Below are 23,596 nucleotides of genomic sequence, written 5' to 3'. Positions count from 1 at the left end.
GGTGTTTATTTCTATCATTTTCTCCTCCTTTATATGGCCCCCACCCCTAGCTAGATGGAGGAAATTGCTGGTAACTGACCTGCATGCTTTATATAGATTATGAGATTTGCAAAGTCCTTACAACTCTAAAGTGACTTCTTTGATTCTAACAGGAATGACCATTGTAATCTTGGCCCTTCCATAAAGATTTCTTGAAGGAAAATATCACAATAATTATTTAAGGAGTCTTTGGATGAAAACTCTTTTGCAGTTTATAGCTGTTCTTAACCTATTTTAAAAGGCAATAAGATATTTCAAAATATTAGACTTTTAAAATATTCTTGCTTTCTCAAGAATATGCCTGAGTAAAGTTGATCAGCATAAAAACTTATAAAAATAAAAAAGGAAAAAGGAAAATGAATAGAATTTTTTAAGTATTTTAATGGATAGTTACATTTTTTCTACCTTTTCCTATATATTAAAATGCAGCGTGGAAATTTAAAACAATGTTTGCAGTGTTTGCTTCAGTCTCTAACGTGCTTTGTGAATTGCTCATTTAATAGAAATGGCTAACACAATAATCTTTCCCAGTTTTTCTAAATGTGGGACTGTTATCTTAAAAGAAGTTGACAAATAGCAGAAACAAAAAATGCTTCCAGTAATTCAGAATCTGTTAATTGAAGTGAAAAATTGTGTACGTCCAGGGAAATTTTCAGAAAAATTGTTTTGTAGAAGATCTGTCAACTTTTATGAAATAAGCTCAAGAAATATCTTCAAGGGAACTTTTCAGTTTCCTCACTTCCAGTATTGGGGTCCTGCTTCTCTGTTGTACAGTCTTTTCCACTGCTTTCTACAGGAACCTCTCATATTGAAGGTCTGGAACCCTTCAGTATGGGACATCTCATTGTGCAAGAGTATAGTTTCCTATAGGCCACTGCTTCAGGGTTTGTTTTGGCGTCTATCACTGAATCAGGTTAGTTACCAGCAAGTATGTGAAGGGCAATGCAAGAGAATCCATTTCAATTAGATCAGCACATGTTATGTGAAGACATTTTTAATTCCACAGGGGATATATGTTAGGGGAAATTGGCATTATTGATACTACTTCTAGTTTTCTCATTCTTTTTATTACTGAAAAAATACTTACCAAGCACTAAAATCTCTATTTGGAATTTTGAATGCCAAAATACATCTATAAATAAATATTCTTTTAATTTATAAAAAGAAAAAGCATTTTAATACTCTTAAATTCTCATTTAGATTTTTCTTTCGTCTGAAAATTCATTATTGCTTATATGTCAAGATTCACATTGTGATATTAATGAAAAAATATCGCCCTTATTTTGCCGCATATGACAGGCTGATTAAATGTCAAAATATTGATAGCATTATTTTACTCTTAAAAATGTATGAAGTTATTTCAATAAGAATAATTCGGCAAGTATCTCCCAAGTTATAGTTATAATATTTAAAGAGATTATTTTACTAACTGTTTTAAAATACAGACACACTTCCCAGAACTCAGAAATTATGAACTTCCTAAATAAAATTCAAGCATGCATGCTCTTTCTTCTGTAGCAAAATGGTACACGGATGAGGAATGACAGTTTTAAAATATGTCATTTTTATCTAAAAGAAAATAAGCACTTACTTGCTGAAGATAGGTTTCTACCTGTGATAATGATTATAGAACAACATATACTTTTATTAAAGCACATGTGGAATACCTTCTTTCTGTGTATTTACTTTTTGCTTTTTCCGAAAGTACTAAATGCTCAGAAATGTGGTCATCAGATCTTGTGATTGGTATGCAGGTGAATGAGCCGATGCATCTGCACCCTCCTTTTTCCTTATCTTCTCTGGGTGTCCCTGAGCTTTCCCCAAGCTGAGACAGATGGCTGCTGGTTTAGTTATGTGCGTGGGAGAGAGGGACTTCCACATGTGATTTTTACCATTTGGTAGTAATTAGTTTGTTGTATAAATTAACATTAACTGAACCATTCTTCAGGCATTGTTTGTAATTATCTTCTTTGAGTCTCTGAGTTGTATAAAGAAATAAAAAGCAGGAAAGAAACTGCTCCTTATTTTTTAAAAGTTGAAGAATCTATCATTAGGCAGAATAGAGTGACAATTATTGTTGTATGCCCGATACACTGAAAACTTTAAAATAACCATAAGGCAAAAAAGCCAAAGATTTTTCTGGAATGGAATGGTTTAGAAATACAATTAGATTTTCTGAAAATGTGTGATTTTTTGCTGTTGTTTAGACAGCACTGAATGTGAGAGAAAAAAGAAATGTAATTTGAGGAATTTTTCTTCCTATCATTTAGCAATTTTAGTTCTCACAATAACTGCCACTTGAATGTTACTGTCGGACTTGTCTTTTTACTTTTTTTACATATGACATACTTCATATAGATACTTTCAAATAAAAGTGTATTAGTGTAAATTTTATGAGAATAGTGTGTTCCTGAGATACAGTACATCAGTATTCGTCTTTTTAGGCAAAGCTCTTCATCAGTCAGTGGGATTTTGATATTTCAGGCTTTAAAGTATGAATGGTGGTTAAGTCAGTATTCCCTCTGACACTCCCTGCCCCTGATGCAGGTATTGGATATCAAAGAAAGAAACAAAACAAACAACCTGTACTTCTTAAAATTCTCCTGGTTGGTTTGGCCTTGCTCATATTATTTATGTGCTCAAAATTTTATTGTGTCTTTCTCTAAAGAGATCTAATAGCTAATACCATATAACAGATTGTCCTTTAAAGTATAAATGTTTCTTTCCGGAAAAAAAAAAATCCCCATCTGTGTTTTCTCTTTGGAAATTACTTTAAGATATTACCAAGAAGAACAAATTACTGATAGACATATTTTGACCCAAAGTATGTAAAATGTGTCATCACACTTTTACTGTCTATAACACAGTCATAACTTTGATGTTGGCAAGAAAATATGATGGTCATTATTTGACCATGAGTTTCTTTGTTGCAGCTTGTTTGATAGATGATTAAAAAAACAGTAATATATACCATTAGTAGCTGTTTTCTATCATACAGCTTCATTTACTGGGTGCCAGACTTTAGTTGTAGAAACTACCAGAAGTGATTAATTTATTGGCTTTTTTCTTTTGAGTGTTGTTTCAGTTCATTTCATGAAATGCAATGATTTGATAGGTCTTCAAGATTTAAAAATATCCCAATATTATTGCAAATTACTTGAAAAAATAAGAACATTTTGCCTTTATTTATACTACAGTGACTACTTACTATAGTAACTAACTATAAGTTAATGAGCAAAACTAAGGTACTTTAAAAGCTGGTTTTTATTGACTAAGCTTTTCATATATTCTGAAGTTAACAAAGAGATAAGTCTTTTTTAAAAAGTGAGTGTTTCAGGAAGACTTTCTGGTTTATTACAAATTAGGCTTATTTTTAACTACTTCTAATTCAGAACTTATTTTTATGAAATAGGAAAACTGGAAGTACTGTGTGCCTAGAACTTGGCTTTCCCATAAAGTACTTCATCCAGTATTTCTCACCATTCATCAACATTTTAAATCATGCTCTTCTTTAAATATATGCCACTTTTGACCATTTTAAAAGCCCTAACTTTATTTAATATTCAACAATTTTGCCTCTCAACATAGTTTATGTACATATATTTTCTCACAAGTGGGAAAAAGGAAAGCATTATTGTCTTATCTCTTTATTTTGGCTGTAAATCAAATAAACATAAAAACCTTAAATTTTGTGCTTTTCAATATTGAGAGCTGGCTAAGAAGCAAGGAGCCTTAATCCTAAAGATATTTCCTTTCCCTGCCTGACAGGATAGAAGTATATTTTCTTTTAAATAGGGCAGGTATTGAACTTGGTAAAATTTTGAAGGGCAAACTTTATGTCTGCTGAAAAATTCATTTTATATAATATGTGTTACTGGCAAACAATATGAGTGCAATCTGGGAACATATTTTAATGGTATGGTTTTCAATCTGTGAATATTAGGATTCTTAATATTAGGCCAAAATATTCCTCTGTGTAGGGGGTGAATAATCTTTATATTCCTCAAGTTAATTTAGAGCCTAATCCTTGGAAGTGAAGCAAAATGAACACTTCTGCTTTCAGACTGATTTTGCTTCATTTATACACTTGTGTTCATAAGAATACAGAAATCGAGGCTTTTACAAGCATCTTTTGAGGAAAACACAATACCTTACTCACCCCCACTCAGATTAAAATAATCAACTACTGATAAATATCTTACACAAAAACCACCTCTGAATAAGTCTTTTGGCAACCATTTGAAATGCAAACTCTTGTATGACATATTTTGGAACTAAAGATAAGAAGAGAGGGGAAAAAAAAGCAGCTCTTCTGTGGCTGTGAAGCTCAAAAAGAATATATTAATTAACCCAAGAGAATTTCTAGGAAGCTGTAGTGAGAAACTGTAGCTTTGAAATGTAGTGATCTTTATCCACTGTTGGGCTTGGGTCAAAGACCTTGGACAAGGAAGGAAAAAAGGGAAGGAGATACATTATAGAAACCAGATGTTAAAAACTGATAAAGGCTGACCAGCCCCCTGCTGCTAAAATCTAACCCCACCTCCATCAAAAAGGTGACATTCTCCTCTGAAGCCCCTCTGTCCTTCTAGGAGAAAAAGCGACACAATTCTGGCTCTGCATTTTTCCTTTGGCCTACCTTGTCGAATGGCCCTAGAAGACTAAACAGGTGTTATCTACTTTTGATTTCAGTGCATTTAAATTAATCCTGTCAGCTCAGCTGTTAAAACAACTGTCATCTCCAGCTGTTAGTAATTTTCGACTGGGCACTTTCACAGGTTGCCAAGATCTGAGCCTGCATTGTGTGTCTCTCTGAATGCACTAGAGTAACAATTTGTGGGCTTTTTAAAGGGGACTGGTATTGTGATGCTGTACACATGAAATGATCATAATAATAATTTCAAAATACAGTCTGGTGCCATGTTTTGTAATATATAAATAAACCGTGTGCTGCATGCCACACTTATCTATATTCTGTCGTGTGTTACATAACTTTTTGGTGTACTTAATTCAATGAACAATAAGTCAACTTGGAAAGCATAAAAAGGCGAGATATCATAAAGAAGTTAGGAGACAGAAGATAGTATTGCACCTGCTTTTGATAGCTTCTGTGTTTCCAGAAACAATAGTTACTTCTAGTAGATGTATGTTTTTTCTCTTTCACGAAAATACTCAGTAGGATGTTTTGTTGCATTTTAAATTAGAGTAACTCTATACTTTCAAACCAAATATTTCGTTTGAAATATTTGTCTTTGACTAGATCCTCTTTTATTGAACATTTTAAATCATAAGAGGCATTTACTATATAATTTCAGTACTTGGGATCTATTTCATTAGTGGCATTCTAAGCTAATATTGTGGAAAATGTATTGGGAAATTCAGTCTGTTATCAATTGGAGTCTATTAAAAATGTGTAGTAATGTCAAATCTTTCAAAAAAAAAAAAAAAAAAAGACTTTCATTTGTCACTGATGTAACCATCTGGAACCAATGAGTTTTCCTCCTGGTTTAACCTTACACATTAAAAAAGGGAAAAACTATAGATTTTCTGCTTGGTTAAGCAAGATTGAATTTGAGTATTAGTTTTTTTTTTTAATAAAAAAGTATGTTTCAAAAACTAAATAGATGATTCTTAAATTGATTTTAAGGTATTTAAGAATAATATAAACAGATCATTAATGAAAACCAGCTTTAATAAAATGTATCAGCCACATAATTTGGGGCTACTTTATAATTTTTTTTAAAATTTATGTAATACTGGTGTTGAATAAATTTACACTAACTTAGTTGAATAATGCTCTATACTAATTTATAAGAAATTCTGGTTTTCACATTTATTTATTAAAATGGGGCTTATTTCTTGAGAGAATATTATATGCACAAGGTACTCAGTGAAAAATGTAATAGAAGGTGTAAAATGAAAAATATTTCTCTTTTCTACTCCTATTCCTACCACTGCCTCTCCCTACCCACCAGCCCGTTCCTCTTTTAGGTTTTATGTAACATGTTTCCTTCTGGATATCTCCAGAGATGTTCTGTGCATATATAAATATATAAACACGTAGAAATATCAGTTTGTGTGTGTACGTGTGGTTTATATCAGAAGGATGTCTCCCATACACACACCAAATTTGTATTTCATTATATCTGGATTTACATGATGTCTGTTCTCTAATAAAGCATATGAATACATGAGTTTGAAGGATAATATTACAACGTATATGATGTGTATATGCAAATTACTTATTTTGTGTCTGAGGATTATAATTTAAATTGAATAAAGAATATTGAATGTTAATATGTCAATACTTATCAATATTAAGATATTCTCAAACCTAATAGGTCCACTATTAGAAACTGTTGGTATGAATATTCTCACACATATGTGCTAGAATATGTAAGAACATATGACATTACTGTTACAGAAAAACTAAAGACATTCTAAGTGTCAGGGGACTGGCTAAGGTTATTATTATGTATTCATAAATGGATTACGATAAGACTGTTAAACAGCAAGTATCCTAATCCATAAAACTATGGAAAGATGCCCACTAGTTATATTTAATTTTTAAAAGTAGAATGATAGTAGTGATAAAATTATCTTATTTTTTATAGTATATATGCATGCTTGTATAGAAATTTATTTAAGTATGAAATATTTTTATCTTAAATTGGATATAAGTTACAAATAAGTGTTTTATTTTGAATATTTACTTTGGTTATTTTAAATTAATATTTGATTAATTACTAAGGGTTAAATCTTAAATGAACCATCTTCAGTGATGCTAATAAAAGTCAATTACCAGTGGATTTTGTTTTTAGTTTCTATAAACATCAGCTTACATTGGAAGAGAGTGTCATGAAAAACTAAGGGAATATACAAAACTTATATGTGAAGGCAGCAAGTGAGAGATGGTGGGGTGGGAAGGGACATTACAAAGGATCGTGGGAAAGTCATTGAAAAGGTGGTAGAAATACAGAGTTAACTTTGATTCATTTCCACAGCTATATTTGTAGAGATATCTCCCCTTAAAATTTGCTGGAAGAAGAAGCTCCTGTGAACATGCTTGTTCATATAAAAATATATATATATATATATCAGAATTCTGAAGGGAAAACAAGGATGCCTTGCTCAAACATATATTCTGCACATATTCTGGTAACTATTGAGATATTTGAATTAATAATATGCTCTTTGTACTAGTTTCTTAGGACTACTCTAACAAAGTATGACAAACTGGGTGGCTTAAAACTATTGGAATTTTTGTCCAGATGCAGTGGCTTGCACCTGTAATCCCAACGCTTTGTGAGGCCGAGGCGGGCAGATCACTTGAGGTCAAGAGTTCAAGACCAGCCTGGCCAACATAGTGAAACCCCATCTCTACTAAAAATACAAAAATTAGCCGGGCATGGTGGTGGGCACCTGTAATCCCAGCTACTCAGGATGCTGAGGCTGAGGCAGGAGAATTCACTTGAACCCAGGAGGCGGAGGCTGCAGTGAGCCGAGATTGTGCCACTGCAACCCAGCCTGGGCAACACAGCAAAACTCTGTCTCAAAAAAAAAAAAAAAATGGAATTTCTGTTCTTTCACAGTTCTAGAGTCTAGAAGTCTGAAGTCAAGTTGTCAGCAGAGCCATGATCCTTCTGAAACCTTTGGTAGCATCCTTCCTACCTCTTCATAGCTTCTGGTAATAACTGTCAAGCCTTGATACTTCTTGGCTTGCAACTATATCAGTCTAATCTCTGCCTCTGTTATCTTGTGATTTTTTTATCTTTGTGTGTCTGAGTCTTCAAATGGCCACCTTCTTCTGAGGAACTCAATCATACTGAATTAGGACCCATAGGACCCACTCTAATGACCTTATCTCAACTTGACTAAATCTGCAAAGACCTTAATGAAGTGTCCCAAGTAAGGTTACATTCATAGTCGCTGGGTATTAGAATTTTCGCATATCCTTCGAGGGACACAGATCGAACCATAACACTCTAAAAATGTAAAGACAAATGGATAGATGGGCCAATTGACCATTTCTAGATTGCTATGAATTAATCTAATCACGGTATGAGTTTAAATTGATGTCACATAAAATTAAATATTGGTGTGTAAAAGAAGAATACATAATTTTTGATTTCATGGAAACATTGATATAGGGCACTCCAACTAAGTGGACTTTTAACTGGGAAATTTGGCCATCCAAAAGCTGGCCACAAGGCTCTGGGTAGATATCTGAAAGTGGAGAAAAGGTTAGAAATCATGCTGAAAGGGAGGTGAAAAGATTGCAAAAAACAAACACACTCTTCTTCCTTGTAGCAGAAAATGCTCACCTGTCCCTGAAAGTCATTTTATCGCCCAAAGATGCTGATCCTGCCTATTGTAGGCATGAAGAAAATTATAGTACCTTGTGACTGGAAAAGTTTAGAGGGTTTATAGATGTTTCATTGTACCTTGTATTCTATTCTTACTGGGACTGTGGCTCTATTCTCCAACACTATTATTGTTTTAAAAATAAAGCCAAAAACGACTGCAACTTAATAAATCCCTGTCTTTTTTTTTTTTTCCACTCCACTATTCTGTGATGCTATGCTTTCTTGTTTTAGGAAAAGTTTTTTTTTTCTTTTTTTTTTTTTTTTAGTGGAAAAAGGATAAATTTTACATTGTAAAATAGCACCTCAGTCTTTGGTTTACATTTTACATTGATCTGATGCTATAAACCAAAGAAAGATCAAAAGAAATGTTTGAGTAAAGTTGTACTCTTTGTATTTATGCCAGAGTTAAACATGTCTCTACCACCTGTTAGGAGCAGAGTGTTGTAGCCAAAGCTAGTCCTCCCATTTCAGTGCTCCAGATTGGGGAGGAGAAGGTGTTGATGCGTGCTTCTTGACCTTGCCTCTGTTAGGCAGGGTTGTCCTTTATATTCTTGTCCTAATGCTTTCTCATGGCATTGTTAGCAGTGGTGTTGAGAAATGTTAGGTTTCAGTGTAGAAGGCTGATTTTTTTCATTGAACTGTAGAAGGCTAATGGAAATTTAAAAACAAAACTGAGAGGGGAAATGGAAGATCCTTACTTTTCTTTAGCTCTCTAAGGCTATTATTGTAAGTTAAAGCAGAAAGAGAATTGAGAGGAATTGCCACTTTTAAAATGTTTGTTTTGTCAGAAAAAAATGTAGTTACTCATAAAATTGATCATCTAAATCTTAGCATATTCCTAATTTTATAAATTGAAATAATATTTGATATAACCTAAGTATGTATTCTGTCTATATCTGCACTACCCCTAGAAGAGTAATGAACAAATACATTTCACAGCATACTTTGTCTAATTGGGCACATACCAAAATTTACACATACAGCAAATTATTCAGTCAAATATTAAAGCTGAAGTTTGTAAAATGTGAAGGAAATGTTAACAGTATATAGAAAATTTTCTGATTGCTAAAACTTTCACTTAGATGATAAGTTTGACTTTGTTCTGAATTACTGTTTGGCCGTATACATTTGTATAGATCATCCTGATTCCTGTCCTCTAGATTTCTAACATATTGTGTTTGGCCATATATATTTGTATAGACCATCCTGATTCCTGTCCTCTAGATTTCTGACACATTGTGTTTGGGTTGTATAAAATGCATAAACCATTTTCTTTTTTTCTTTTAATGGTTGGGAATAGGAATAAAAGAAGCAGAACAAAATAATTTTGGTTACTTTGAAAGGTTGTACTAACCTTAGTGATGCTACTTTTTGATAACAGTAGATAACATTTATTGAGCATATGTTTTTTTTTCAGGCATTGCGCTTTACATGTTTTATCTCTTTTAGCACTTTTAATCCTTGCAACTACTCTATTTACCAATATATGCCTATTTATTTATTATTCATATATATCACACACACATATGCATCAACATATACCACTATAGATAGAAAAACTGATGTCTAAATGGGCTAAATAAATTGCCCATTTACAAGGTTAGTAAAAGCAGGATTTTATCTCAGAGATAATCCAGCACAAAGCTAGCTTTTAAACTATTACACTATATTATTTCTCACAAGTTCAAAACATGTGATGAGCACAGTTAATATGAATGAATTATGATGTAATGAATGAGTTCATTCATTCCTTCTTTCATTCCACAGATTTTTTTAAAAAAACGTCTAGTCATGCAAAGCACTCTCATAGAAAACAAGTAAGGTGCCAACCTTGTCACATAGAAAGTTACATTTTTATGTTGAAGATTTTTTAAAGGAATATATATATATATATATATATATATATATATATATATATATATATATATATAAAACAATGATAGGTAAATAGAGAAAATGTTAAATATCAGGAAATAATAAATTCCATAAGAAAGGTACAGATATCGTAATCAGAAACAAAGTGGATTATTTCATGATGGAGTGATGAAGGAGGAGTTTAAGGAGAAAACGGTATTCAAATTAGTCATCGAAGGTGGTCAGTCAGTAGTTCCATCAGGGGAGGACACCAGGGCTGGATCTGGAGAGATTGAGTTGGGATGAATAGTTCAACTAAGAGCATAGAGGTTAAAATGCATCGGGTACCATCAGAGATAATAAATAATTATTGAGGATGTAGGGCAAATAAATTGAGAAAAGGAAACCAAATTAGATTCCACATGGAGAGAGGTTAGGATTGAGAAGCCCTGAATGCCAGGCTACAGAGTTGAAACTTTATGGGTTAGGACCTGAAAAGCTATTGATGATTTTCCAGCAGTGGTGTGATCTGATCAGAGTTCTGTTCCACAATCCATTTTTCTCATTGCCTATTCTTCCTGGCCACACACTTACTGGAATTTCCTTTGACTAACAACAATAACCAAACAAACAGTAGCACAGTGGATATGCTGTTATAGATATGGATCTATGGATTTTTTTCTATTTAAATGGAATTTCAGATTGGAGATACTATAGTGTGATCAGTTAACCTCACGTTAATATGATGCAGCCACCCATATTTCTGTTACTTTATAGAATTTGTATTTTACTCTATTCCTTGTAATATTTATTTCTTCCATGAGATTTTGAGAGTATTGAGGCTTAAGAAGCTTGTTTATTTACTAGATAGCTTGACTTCCAAATATGATCATTGCCTAATATTTGTTCATTGAATAAGGGAATTGATGAGGAATTGTTGAATACTTATTAATTATTTTTAAATGGATAAAATGTAAACAAAACCTATAACTTTTTGTTGTCCTGTATCTGAACAGATGTCTGTAACTACCTGAACAGATATCTGCATCTGAGATTTTGTGGACTTTACGGTTAATCACACAGATGAGATTCTATTCATGCTGTGTCATCCTTATGAAAGCTCTTAACCCCTCACTTTCTGGAATGCGGTTCATGTGTCTTTTCAAATTCAGCTAAAAAAAACCCATTCTGGGAAGGACTTTCTTATGGTTGTCAGCCTGGTTAGAAATGATATGTCTGTGCTCATTTTTTTTGTGCTTACATAAGATTTACTGTTTCTACCTCACAGCACTTAATCACACTATTTCACAATTTCTTTCTTCACTAGACTATAAATTTCTGGAGGGCAGGGACTATGTCATTTCATTTTTGTGTTCCTAGGCTAATACAGTATTTGGTAGATAGCAGATTAGTATTAAATATTTTATAAAAGAGTTATGGATCAAAGGTAGGGCAATTCATTAGTAGGCTATCAGAATAGGGAAAAATCAAGAGCTAAATGGGGTTTTTGGCTTTACAAATAGAGAAGAGAGCAAGAATTTCAGAAATATTGAAGGATAAAAATTAATGGGACTTGGTGACAGATGGTATGTGAAGATAAAAACAGAGAGAAGTTAAAGATGCAAAATGACTTGTGAAAGAAAGGTGCCATTAACTGTTGTAAGAGAGCAAAGAGTAGGAGCTGATTTCTTGTTGGGACAGATAATGAGTCCTCTTTTGGATATAGTGATTTTGAGGTAACAGTGGGCCATACTGAGATGCTTAAATAAGTAGTTAATAAGAAATTAGAACTTGAAAGAGGTCAAGAAAGGACATAGGAATCAGTGAACCATTCACATACTAATGACAGTTGAAGTGCTTTAGTGGGAGAGATTGTGATAGAGAATTTAGAGAAGCATGATGGAATCTTGTAGAGAAGCTAATTCTGGCACATTCGGAGGAAGAGTCCAAGAGAATACCTAGTGAAAAAGGAAAACAAGGAAATAATAATTTCAGGAAAGTTAAGATTGAATGTAGTTTTAGGAATGTTGGAGAATGTTGGGGAAGAGGGGCGGGAGTAGCAATGCTTAACAATTTAATATTCTGTAGTGTGGTTGAGAAGTAGGCAGTTACTAATCGGATCAGAAGCCAGACTGCAAGACTACGGACACATAAAGGGACACAATAAGATGGTAAATTATGTGAGTTGCAGAGTTAAGATAATTACGTATGGGGTATTTCCACTTTTACCTAATATGACATATAAACCCATGGAGGATGTTTATATGGATTGTATTGAAATGTATTGTAGAAATATATTTTACAAAACAATTATAGCTGATATCATCTATCATATCTGGGGAGATATAAAGGTTAAGGTAGATTTTTTTAGAGGGTGTCACAATTCCGTATTGAGGATAATCACACAGACAAGCTATGCTGATTTCCATAAGCAAGCTGTGTTTAGAAATGTGTCAAATTTTGGGATATAAGACTCCAAAATTGGTTAAAAAAAAAAATTACAACGAATGGGATGGCTAGTATTTTTAATTTAAGTCTCATTGTGCATATCCATAGACTTGCTGTCTTATAAAACTTTGAGTTGGGTCTCATGTGATTTAAAAATTAAGAAAAGGCCGGGCGCAGTGGCTGACGCCTATAATCCCAGCACTCTGGGAGGCCGAGACGGGCTGATCACGAGGTCAGGAGATCGAGACCATCCTGGCTAACAAGGTGAAACCCCGTCTCTACTAAAAATACACAAAAAAAAAATTTAGCTGGACATGGTGGTGGGTGCCTGTAGTCCCAGCTACTCGGGAGGCTGAGGCAGGAGAATGGCATGAACCCGGGAGGCAGAGCTTGCAGTGAGCCGAGATCGCACCACTGCACTCCAGCCTGGGCAACAGAGTGGGACTCCGTCTCAAAAAAATTAAGAAAGAAAGAAAGAAAAAGAAAAGAATTAAATGTTCCGTAAAGTTTGTTCTACGTGTAATATTTTTAATTTTATTCTATAATTGTAGCATGCATTTCCCAGAAAAAGACTTTCATATTTTAATAGTTGATATGTAAATTCTGAAGGACGTCTGTAAATTCTGAATTGACGTTGTCAATCCTCTTTCTATAGGACTGTTAAGAAACAGTAGTAGTCAAGATGGTGAAGTAGCTAAAATCTCTAGTTTGTTTCCCCTAACTATACAACTTATCAATAAAAGTGTAACTGAAAGCATGAATAAAATTTACATCTGAAGTCAACCGTAGGGTTGGAATCCAAATCCAAGCGCTATTACATTTAATTTATGTAATAGTACTTAACTGAAAAATTAAATAGATTTTAGTATTAATAATGTTAAAAAGTGGAGAAAATCCTAGGAACAATAATACATGCTTTGCTAAAAAGAACATTTTTATATATAAAAGGTGGGAAATCTAATATCCTAATATTTGACTACATTAAGCTACTTTTTAAAATTTTACTCACAAAATGTACGTAAAAGGAAAGGAAATCATTTAGATGGAAATTTGGGCTCACTTCCTTGGTCTTTAGCATGATAGATAATCTACTGGATAAGCCAGGGGTTCACTGTGGTTCAGTTATTACCATCTTTTGATTGCCACCTTTAAAAAACTGCAGGTTTAAATGGGTTTGGAAGATTGAAGGAAGGCCTTATAACTGTCACACTGTTTTCTTATTCCTTGTTCATGTTCTCTTTGGCTCCTTTTCTTTCTCTTCTATTGGTCCCCTTTTTCCTTCACCCTGTCTTCTTATAGACCAATGTTTCATAATTAAAACAGGTCTCCAGTTTTATCTTGGCAAATAAGTCCTATGCACTGGATTTTGCTGTTAATGCTGTCACTAGGCCTGGGTGATGTAAAATTGCCTTAGGAGCCAAGGGACAGACAAGTAACAAGACTTCCTATTCGTAGTATGGCTTCTCATCTGCGTTTTGTGAAAATACATCCGAAGAGGAATGGGCTGCAACAGTATAGTGTTTTCCTTGAGAAGCATCTCTCAAGGTTTGGCCCAGTGCGCTACTACTGGTTGTTTCAAAATAACAGGGAGTGGTTTTCAGTATGTTTGTGTTTTAACAAGTTCTCCAGGTGACCAAATGCTTTTCATTATCTAATTTCCTATTGCAATCCTATAAGGTAGGATTGTCTCAATTTGACAGATAAGCAAACAGGTAAAGGCTATATATATGGTGTTGTTAATGGAATTTCTAATGAGAATAATGGTTTATTTCATGATATACCTTCTTTCGGACCTGTTACTATTGTAAACATAGTTTTCCATGTGAGCAGCTGCAAGGCTCTTTTCCCCCAAATGTAGTACTTTAGAGGAGCATTTAATATGACAGGTGTAAATGGAAATAGAATAAAATTTTCTGTTCCTCATCTATATTAACAGTTTAGTGGTGTAGCTGCTTAGCCCATTTCTATACCAAAGTTGTTTTTTTTTTAAATTTTAAAGAGTGATACCTAAACGTTGTATCATTCATGTCCCAATTTTGAAATATTACCGTCTCTCACTAGTCATCATCATGTACGTTTTAAGCATCCTTTGCACACTGTGTTCATTCCTTTGGTTCATCTATCTGACAGTGTTTCATTCATATGCTAGCAAATATGTATGGAGTTAGTGTGTTTGGGTATTGGGTTAACATAATTTTGTGCAAACCTTATCAGGGTTTCCTATCAGAATTAAGAAAGTATCACTATACCCTCCATTATTCTCATTGACATTTTGTTAATTTATTTTTGTGTGTGTTCCAACAAAACTTTACTTATAGACACAAATGTAAATTTTATATCGTTTTCACATATTGTAAAATATTCTTCTTTTTTTCAACCATTTAAAAATGTTGAAACTGTTTTCATAGCTGGTAGAATTTGGCCCATGGGCTGTGTTTGACTGACTCCTGGACTAGCATCTCAACCATGAGCACTCAATGACATTTTAGATATCACTCTAAGAATATTCCGGCTGTCTTTCAAGTACACTGTTATTTGAGCCAATGACATATTTTATTTAAACATTTACATTTAGCTCAATATCTTTGGAAGATTGGCATTGAACTTACATTATTGAAAATTAATCTAGGTTATTACCTGTTGTGAAATGCATTATGTCTAACTCTAAATCTTCACAGATAAAATAAATAAGTTGTTAAAATTTCATATAGTTGTTTCAAGCAGAAAAGAGCATAGGTCTGTAATATGGTATGCTTAATCTTGCCTCTAGGACACTGTCTGTAATTTTATTTTGGATAAATTTTGTTAGTATTAATAATACTGAAAATATTTTCTTTATTGTGTACTTTATGGAGGCAAAAAAGTATTAGTTGAGGAGGACCAAACTTATTGTGAAATAAGCATTTTAGTATGGACATTAACATGAATTTTTCTAGTATAAATTTCTCTTGGAGAAATCCTCCCTATGTAGAATGTTTTCACTTCGGATATTGGTTGCTTTATCATACTTTAACCCTAGCTGAAACTGCTGAGGGTTTCACTGTTTACCCATTTTATAGTCACTATGGGTAGGGTGTGCCTACAATATTTTTGTCCCGAAACACATCAAGCATCTTAGAATGATTTGGCTACATTGTTAGGGAGAAAGGATATAGTGTTTACTTCAGAAACTCATTATCATTTTAAGATAATTCACATCACATCATATGAATTAATGGGCATTAGAAGGAAGGTGCTGACTCTAATGTTCAAACAGATTTTGTTATTACCCTGTTATTACAGCATCATTGTTAGTATCAGCACTACCAAATCCATGAACAAGAATAAGTTAGAATGCTTATACATTCTTAACCTTTGTTCTTTAAACCTTTATCTACTGGAAGAAAACAATATAAAATGGCTGATATCACCAAAATACTCCCTTATTTTCTGTGTGTGGGGAAGAGGAGAGTGGAACCCCCAAAAAGCTCTTAAAGAGATAGGACCTTTTGTAAGTATTACTATGTTGAGCAGGAGGGAAGAAGTCTTCCAATTATAGTACGATGACAATTTTCATGAACCAATCTTGGTTTTTAAATTAATAATGTTGATGTTTCTATTTTGGCTAAACAGTACCATCATACCTCATTGTATACAATAGGGTTGTTATGAAAATGTACATGTATATTTGCTTTTTACAGATCAAATTTTCTTTACAAATAATTTTAGTATGTTTCTAATATGAGTCTCAATAATTTACTTGCTTTAACAGAGTTCTATATTACTTTAGTAATCTCAAATTTATCAAGTTTTTTTAAAATACAGTTTTATGTTTTGTTATGTCCTGAGAGTAGAAATAGTTATAGACCATTGAGTGACAAGAATGACTGGTCACAGCTTTAAATTTAAACTTAAATGTGTGTGTGTGTGTGTTGTAAGAGAGAACTGGTTTTTTTTTTTTTTTTTGGTTCTTTTGCCATTTTAGGAATAAAAATGGGATATTGCTATTATATATGTGTGTGTAAATGTAAACCTATATTTGCTATATGCATGAGTATACATGTGTAACTCTGTATGCATCTATAAAGTTATATGCAGTGAGATTAACCAAAGAATGAAGGATACCCAAACTTAAGACTTGCCATGTAAGTCTCTGCCTCTAAAACTACTAAAAGAGTATGTGCCCTTAATTTGCAGTGTTTCAAATGGCAATCATAGGAAAGAGAAAAATAAGAATTTTGTATTTTTTTCAGGCAGCACAAATTATTAGGTCCTTAGATACAATTCAATTCAGTGAATGTTTGTTGAATGCCAAGTCAGTGTTCTAGGTACAGAAGATACAGCAGTGGACAAGATAGAAACGCCTATGTTTTTGTATCTCCAGTGGGAGTAATCAGATTAAAAATATAATGAATAGGTAAAATATATAGTTTGCCATATAACAATAAGCAATATAGGAAAAATAAAGCAGGAGATGGGGAATGAGAATGATAGGAAAAGATAAATGTAAAAATCCATCCTGAGAAAATGACATTTGAACAAAAGACTTGAAGGAGTTGAGGGAATGAATCATGCAGATATTTGGGGGACGATCATTCCAGTTAAGAGAACAAAAAACAAAACCAAACAAAACAAAAAAACAAAGGACCTGACAGTTTTGAAGCACAGCAAGGAGGCCAGTATAGCTAGAATGAAATAACCTGAGGCGAGGTTAGGAGGTAGTAAGTTGAGAGAGGTAAAGAGAGGCTACATTGTACAGTATCGAAGGCTAGCGCATAGCTTTATCTTTTACGGAAAGAAGTGAAAGCTATTGGAAGCTTTCAAACACAGCAGAGAAATGAAATGTCTTTACAGCCCAGCATAAAATATTTCTTATAATTTCAGACTTCTTTAGAACAGTCCCAAACTTTTAGGGGCTTCAGGAATTATCCCAGAATTTTTAATCCAAAATCATATAGGTACGTGGCATTTGCTCTCACTCCTGGAGCTCTTTTCCTGGGATCCATTAGGACCTACTCTAAGGATATGGATTTTTTTCTTTTTTGTGGAAGGGCGAGAGGGGTGCAAATGCCGAAGAGTTATCACTTTGAAGTCTGTCTTTCAGGATTATTTATAGCCAAAAACTCAAGTAGAGGGTGACTCAGTGGTCTCATCATTGCTTCATAACTTAGGAAATTGTTCAACCGACCCACATAGCCTGGTGGAGTTAATAAAAGCATATTATATGGCCAAGATACATCTGTGTATATCCTCATACATTTAAAGCAGGTATTTGAACCACTGCCCAAAAATTATTAAAGAGAAACCCTGCAGGTTTAAGTATCTCTGTTAATCTGATTGTACCAATACCTAGTCTGAAATAAATGATACTCTTATTTTTCAAGAGTTCAACTAGTTAAGGTACCAAAAGAAGAGGAGGGTGTCAGGAATCCATTCTAGTTATATGATTTGAATTGATAAAGTGTATTAGTGTTAATTAAGGCTACTTTGAAGCTGTGTTTTTTTCAGATTTTACGTTGGAGATGGACTCGTGTTTTGATTTTCAACATATAAAAATAGTTACTAATTTCCCCCTTAAATGTTTAAATAAAAATACCTACTGTGCAGTAGCGTGGAGCAGAGCATCAAACTTAGCTCTGCTGAGTATATATATATATAAATATATATATAAATATTTATATATATTTATATATAAATTTATAAATATATTTTGTCTTAAGGCTTTGCAATGTGAAAAAATGTTTAAATATACACACATATATACGCACCACTATATAAGAATGAGTAAATACACTATATTAGAATGGAAATCACTATATTGGTGATCTGTTTAGGTAGTTTCAGTTAGTTTTTTTCATGCATTAGAATTGTAAAACCCTATAATTTTGCAGTTAGGAACAATTGGTCTTCATTTAGGAGACACAGTTTAGAAGCTAAACACAGTTTGAGAATTTAATCCAGACTTAATTCCTCCTACCTAGTTCCTAGTAAGGCCCAGTAGAATATGAAAATTCCACCACCAGTGATACTTATATTTGGTGCCTGCTTGTTCTACAGCTTTCAGTGTCATTAAACTCCTTGATATGATTTTTAAGCATTAGCTATGCAACTCAGCTATGAATATGTGACCTTTGACTGCTGTTAACTTATGAAATTCAAACTACTCATTCAAATGTACTTCTCTTTTACCCTTTTCCTGAAATTTATCCTCCAGGGATACTTACAGGTCTTTAGAATAATGATACATTTACTTTCCCTGCTTTTCTCCATTGACCATCACCATCTTATTGGATTCTGCAGGGCTTTGTTCAATGTTACATTGCAATGTTTACTATTAAGTAAGAAAGAATTCAGCTGCCAGGCAAGATTTTAGGCAAAAGGACTTTGAATGAAGTGGCACTGTGTAATTAGAGTCCTAAACACCATGGATTCATTATAATTTAAAAGTGTTCATCATAACTGAGTTGTAGTTAAAAGGATTTTTTAAAAGATTGGGTATCAATAAGTAACAGTTAGAGGTTTTCTAGACTCCCCTTTATGTGGCTGAATGACAGCTGCACATCAGGCAGGTTTCAGACTCTTAAATTACACCCGTTTTCTTGACCTTGTCGCCCAGACTTCAGAATATTTTTTGTTTATTAGTTAAATACTATTCAGTAATTTAAATACCAGAAAGGTTCATTCTTTGAAGATTGTTTCCAGGAAGAGAAAATGGTAATCAATAGAGATGTTACAATAATTTTATATTTCATATACATACATATGTGTGCACACAAACACACATTCTCCTGAGGGTGGCTGTCTGTAAACTGTAGCTTCATTGTATAGCAGCAACCTTTGGAAATTCACTAACTGATACACAGCAAAGGCTCTGTTGCCTGGCTAGTCCTACCCACAAAACTCCCATTCAGCATTTTTTCTGTTTTCCCGGATTATTTGAACAGTTAATAGGCACATACACATGAGCACACACTCTCACACACTCACATACGTGCTTATCCCACATCACAAAAACCACCCTCACATTTGGCTCGATCTGATGCTCAATTTAGCCACAAGGCAAGACTTAAAGGAGCTTCTGTCAACTCTGTTAAAAGGAAATCCAAAGGTAGTCTAAAAAGGTAAAATTTGAGGAACATAGTTGAGGTACAGAAAAGGGGAAAATGTATTTAAAGTCGTAATATAACTTTTCTGTGATAAACAGAATGAGTCTCTAGAGCATCTGTTGCCAGAATTTTTTATGAGCTGTGTTCTTTGAAAAATCTTATACAAGTCCATCCATCAAAAAAAAAAAAGTCAATGGTAAAAGATTCCATTTTGAATCTACCGTTTTTAAAAATGCACTACTCTTATTTTCAGTGCCACCTACACTGATTCCTCCCATTTTCCAGAAAATTCAAAGGGCTACTCTGTTCTAGGAAGAGGTGAAATCCTAACTATGTTAGGTGTCATGTAACCTATCCCTTTTAAGATACTGCAACATGAATCCTCATGGTCAAATCTGCCAGTAAAACTTTAAATTCAAGAGCCGTAGCCACTGGATGTTATTCCAGTTTACTGTGGAGAATTTCTTATTGTGTTTTTGTTAGAAATAAATTTATTAAATTTTTAATATATTAGCGGAATTGTTAAAAAAAATTCTAATCTAAAATAGTACACTTTAAAAATCATTGAGATGCTTAACATCTGTAGGAAAATCTAAATGTGACTTATTTGACTAAGAAATGATACTATTTTAATGCCAGTACTATAAAAATGAAATTTTCTTTTGTAGACCTAAACTAGTCCTAAGGTAATCAGCTGTTGTATCAGCAGAATATATGAACATATGTAGCTCACAGCTATACTTTTATGAAAAGGATGAAATAAAAAATTATTTGTATATTTTTACAGAAATAGTTTTTAAACGTTCTTCTTACAAGGAACATGAAGTATCATCTGTAAACATTGCGTTTTTGTTTTTGCTACGTTGATTAAATGACTACTATATGATAGACATATCTTTTGGAGGGAATGCTAAAATAAGTAAGGCTCTACCTCTAACCCTGCTGGAGGTAAAAAATAAAGAATAGTACTATCATTTTTGGCAGTTACCTTATGTCATTTCATTTAACCCAGTAGTTTACAATCTACTGGGAGACAATGGTACATATAGTAGCTGCTAGACTACAAGATCTGTGAAAAAATATGTTGACATCAACTCTAAGATTATATTCTTGAAAACTCTAAAGAGAATTTGCCAAATAAGACTTTATGGGGAGTAAGATTTATAAGTGAACCTATATAAACGTTTATTTAAGTAAATAAGTATTAGGTAAATATGCGTATAAATACTTATTTTTCTGTTCACTAAAATAAACCAGTAAACAGCACACCAATTAAAGAGAAAATCAATAAAACTCTTCATATCATATAGGAGTATATTAAAATAGAGGATTATCTAGATAAAACTTTTAAAATATTTTTCCTCTCTGGTTTCAATGAAATTCTTGTTAATTCATATTACATTAAACATTTCAATGATGGATTATAAAGAAAAACTGTATACATCTTTGTAGGTTTATCTGTAACAAAACAAATATGCCATAGTCACCATACCCTGTGATGGTAACAGACCTGGAGAACCATTCTGTCTCTTGGGAAAGTTAGTGTAAATTGCTAGTACCTAGGTGACAAAATTTAAGAAGGAATGCATTCTCAGTGTCTTGAAAATACAGAAGAGTTGACAGTGTGCTACCTCAAGAGTGAATGCCTGCTTAAATTTTGCACCTTGGTGCTTTTCTTACTTCACCATTGTCTGGTCCAGCTCTGAAGACAGAGATCCGGTTTATGTTGCTTCTGGCTGTACCCTGTAGTTATGATATATGGACATTTAATTTTTGTGTTAAGTTCGGAACCTGGCTTCTTAGAGCTTCCCCACTATTTTGCTTAATCTTCACACAACATGATCTTGCTTACCCTAAATTTGCGTCAAGCAATTCAGCAAATTCTGCAGAAAGGCACTTTTTAGAATTCCCCACCTATACCCCATAAAATACAGAATAGTTTTATTTGTTTTTCCTTCAGTCCAGTATAGTTCTTCTTAAATATTCATGTGCTGAAAAGTTACTCTTTAGGGTTGGGTACTACAAAATACATATTGTACCTTCTGGGTAAATAAAGCTATTTTCAAGGGTTATTTTCTTTATAAGCTACTTTTGGCTAATGTACTGATTTTAGTGTCTGCCCCTCACCCTAAAGGCCTAGCAGAGTGTATGTCACCGAGTAGGCACTTAATAAATGCATGTTAAATAAATGGCTTACACTGTAACTACCAATTTTTTTACTTTAAAATTTGTAGTCATTCATGATTCGCATATATTTTATCAAGAATTCTTGCAGTGATGAAAAATATACAAATGTATATCTACTTATTTTCATATGAGGAGAATTTATAGTTACAGGAAGATTACTGTAATTTCAGAGGAAGTTCGAAAATCCTTAGGTGAAAGTCTTACATGAAAAACGTTTTAGGTCTCTCCTCTATTTTCCAGGTTTTATCCTTGAAATTTTTTGTCTTGACTATCAAGTCCAAATTTCGAAAACCTTAATTAAGGTCTCAGTAGATTTCTTTATAATATTAGCCAGTTTTACCTTTAAGACTACTTAGTGACAGAGAACAGAAGGAAGAGGTGAGTTGTCTTCAACTAGTCACTGATTTCTTTCTGTTCATCCAGGACAGTAAAATATTTTTTGAAAAGAAAGCAAAAGTAAGAGCAAGACTTCTCAGCTCGAAAGACAGATACCACAACAGATGATGAGGTCAAAGCAGTTTAAATCATCACATACAGACAATACAGTTGTTTTCCAAGGAATTCTTTGGCAGCATCTGAAACTGCTCCATATCGCAGTGCTTTGTCCAAGTTTTTTTTTTTTTTTTTTTTTTTTTTTTTTTTTTTTTTTTGAGACAGAGCCTCACTCTATTGCCCAGGCTGCAGTGCAATGGTAAGATCTCGGCTCACTGCAACCTCTGCCTCCTGGGTTCAAGCAATCCTCCTGCCTCAGCCTCCTGCATAGCTGGGATTACAGGCATGCACCACCACACCCAGCTAATTTTTGTATTTTTAGTAGAGATGGTGTTTCACCATGTTGGCCACGCTGGTCTCGAACTTCTGACCTCATGATCCACCCACCTCGGTCTCCCAAAGTTCTGGGATTACAGTCATGAGCCACTGTGCCTGGCCTGTCCGAGATTTTTATCGCCTTAGTTATGTGTATCCCCATGTGTGAAATGATGGGTCATTACTATTTTTCCTCAGTTGACTGTGGGGTTTTCGTATCTCTATTCTATATTCCCATTGTAGACACTCTCTCAATCTCTTCCCTATACTTAACATTCTAAGCTTTCCTTCTGGTCTTTCATCAGCACTTTACAATAAAGTTTTTCTATATAGTTGTGTACACGTTTGACACCTGCAAATAACTTTCTATATTATAATTTTCACATATAAAAATGAAAACTTAGATACTATTTAAAAATCTTCCCTGATTAATAAATTTGATTTTAAAATTAAAGAATAAATCTTAGAAAGAGATAATTTAATATTTTTACTCTATATCCCCTACTAATTTTTGCTAGAGTCAGTCTTGTCTATAGGTATTCTATATACAAGTAAAATTAAAAAGTGATACCTATTTCAAAAAAGTGATACCTATTTCAAATACTTTATTTGAAATAGGTATCACTTTTTAATTTCACTATTTGTCAAACCTTGGGAGTTTCAGTATTTCACTTATTATAAACTATGTTTAAAGAACCACATCAACCACAATTTAGAAGTTACTGAGTCTCAGTAATTCATATAAACAAAGTAAGTGGGTGATCAAATTTATAAGATCTCATCTTCTCTGATTTTTTTTATTGGTTAAAGTGG

The 23,596-nt window shown here is 33.3% G+C and overlaps 1 protein-coding gene across 42 annotated transcripts in view, besides 1 other annotated feature; it reads left to right on the top strand.

Moving 5' to 3' along the window:
* The window catches only part of SOX5 (SRY-box transcription factor 5), a 1,033,147-nt gene that overhangs the window by 747,402 nt on the left and 262,149 nt on the right, over window positions 1–23,596 (top strand). The gene's annotated exons all lie outside the window — the stretch shown is intronic.
* Window positions 2,848–3,048: a silencer, noted in NCBI's record as "peak1610 fragment used in MPRA reporter construct". NCBI's record gives its function as "represses an SCP1 promoter by STARR-seq MPRAs in K562 erythroleukemia cells {active_cell/tissue: K562}" and the evidence as "EXISTENCE:reporter gene assay evidence [ECO:0000049][PMID:32103011]".

Source organism: Homo sapiens, chromosome 12 (assembly GCF_000001405.40).
Source record: "Homo sapiens chromosome 12, GRCh38.p14 Primary Assembly".
Classification (NCBI taxonomy): domain Eukaryota; kingdom Metazoa; phylum Chordata; class Mammalia; order Primates; family Hominidae; genus Homo; species Homo sapiens.
This window is presented reverse-complemented; position numbering and strand designations above follow the sequence as displayed.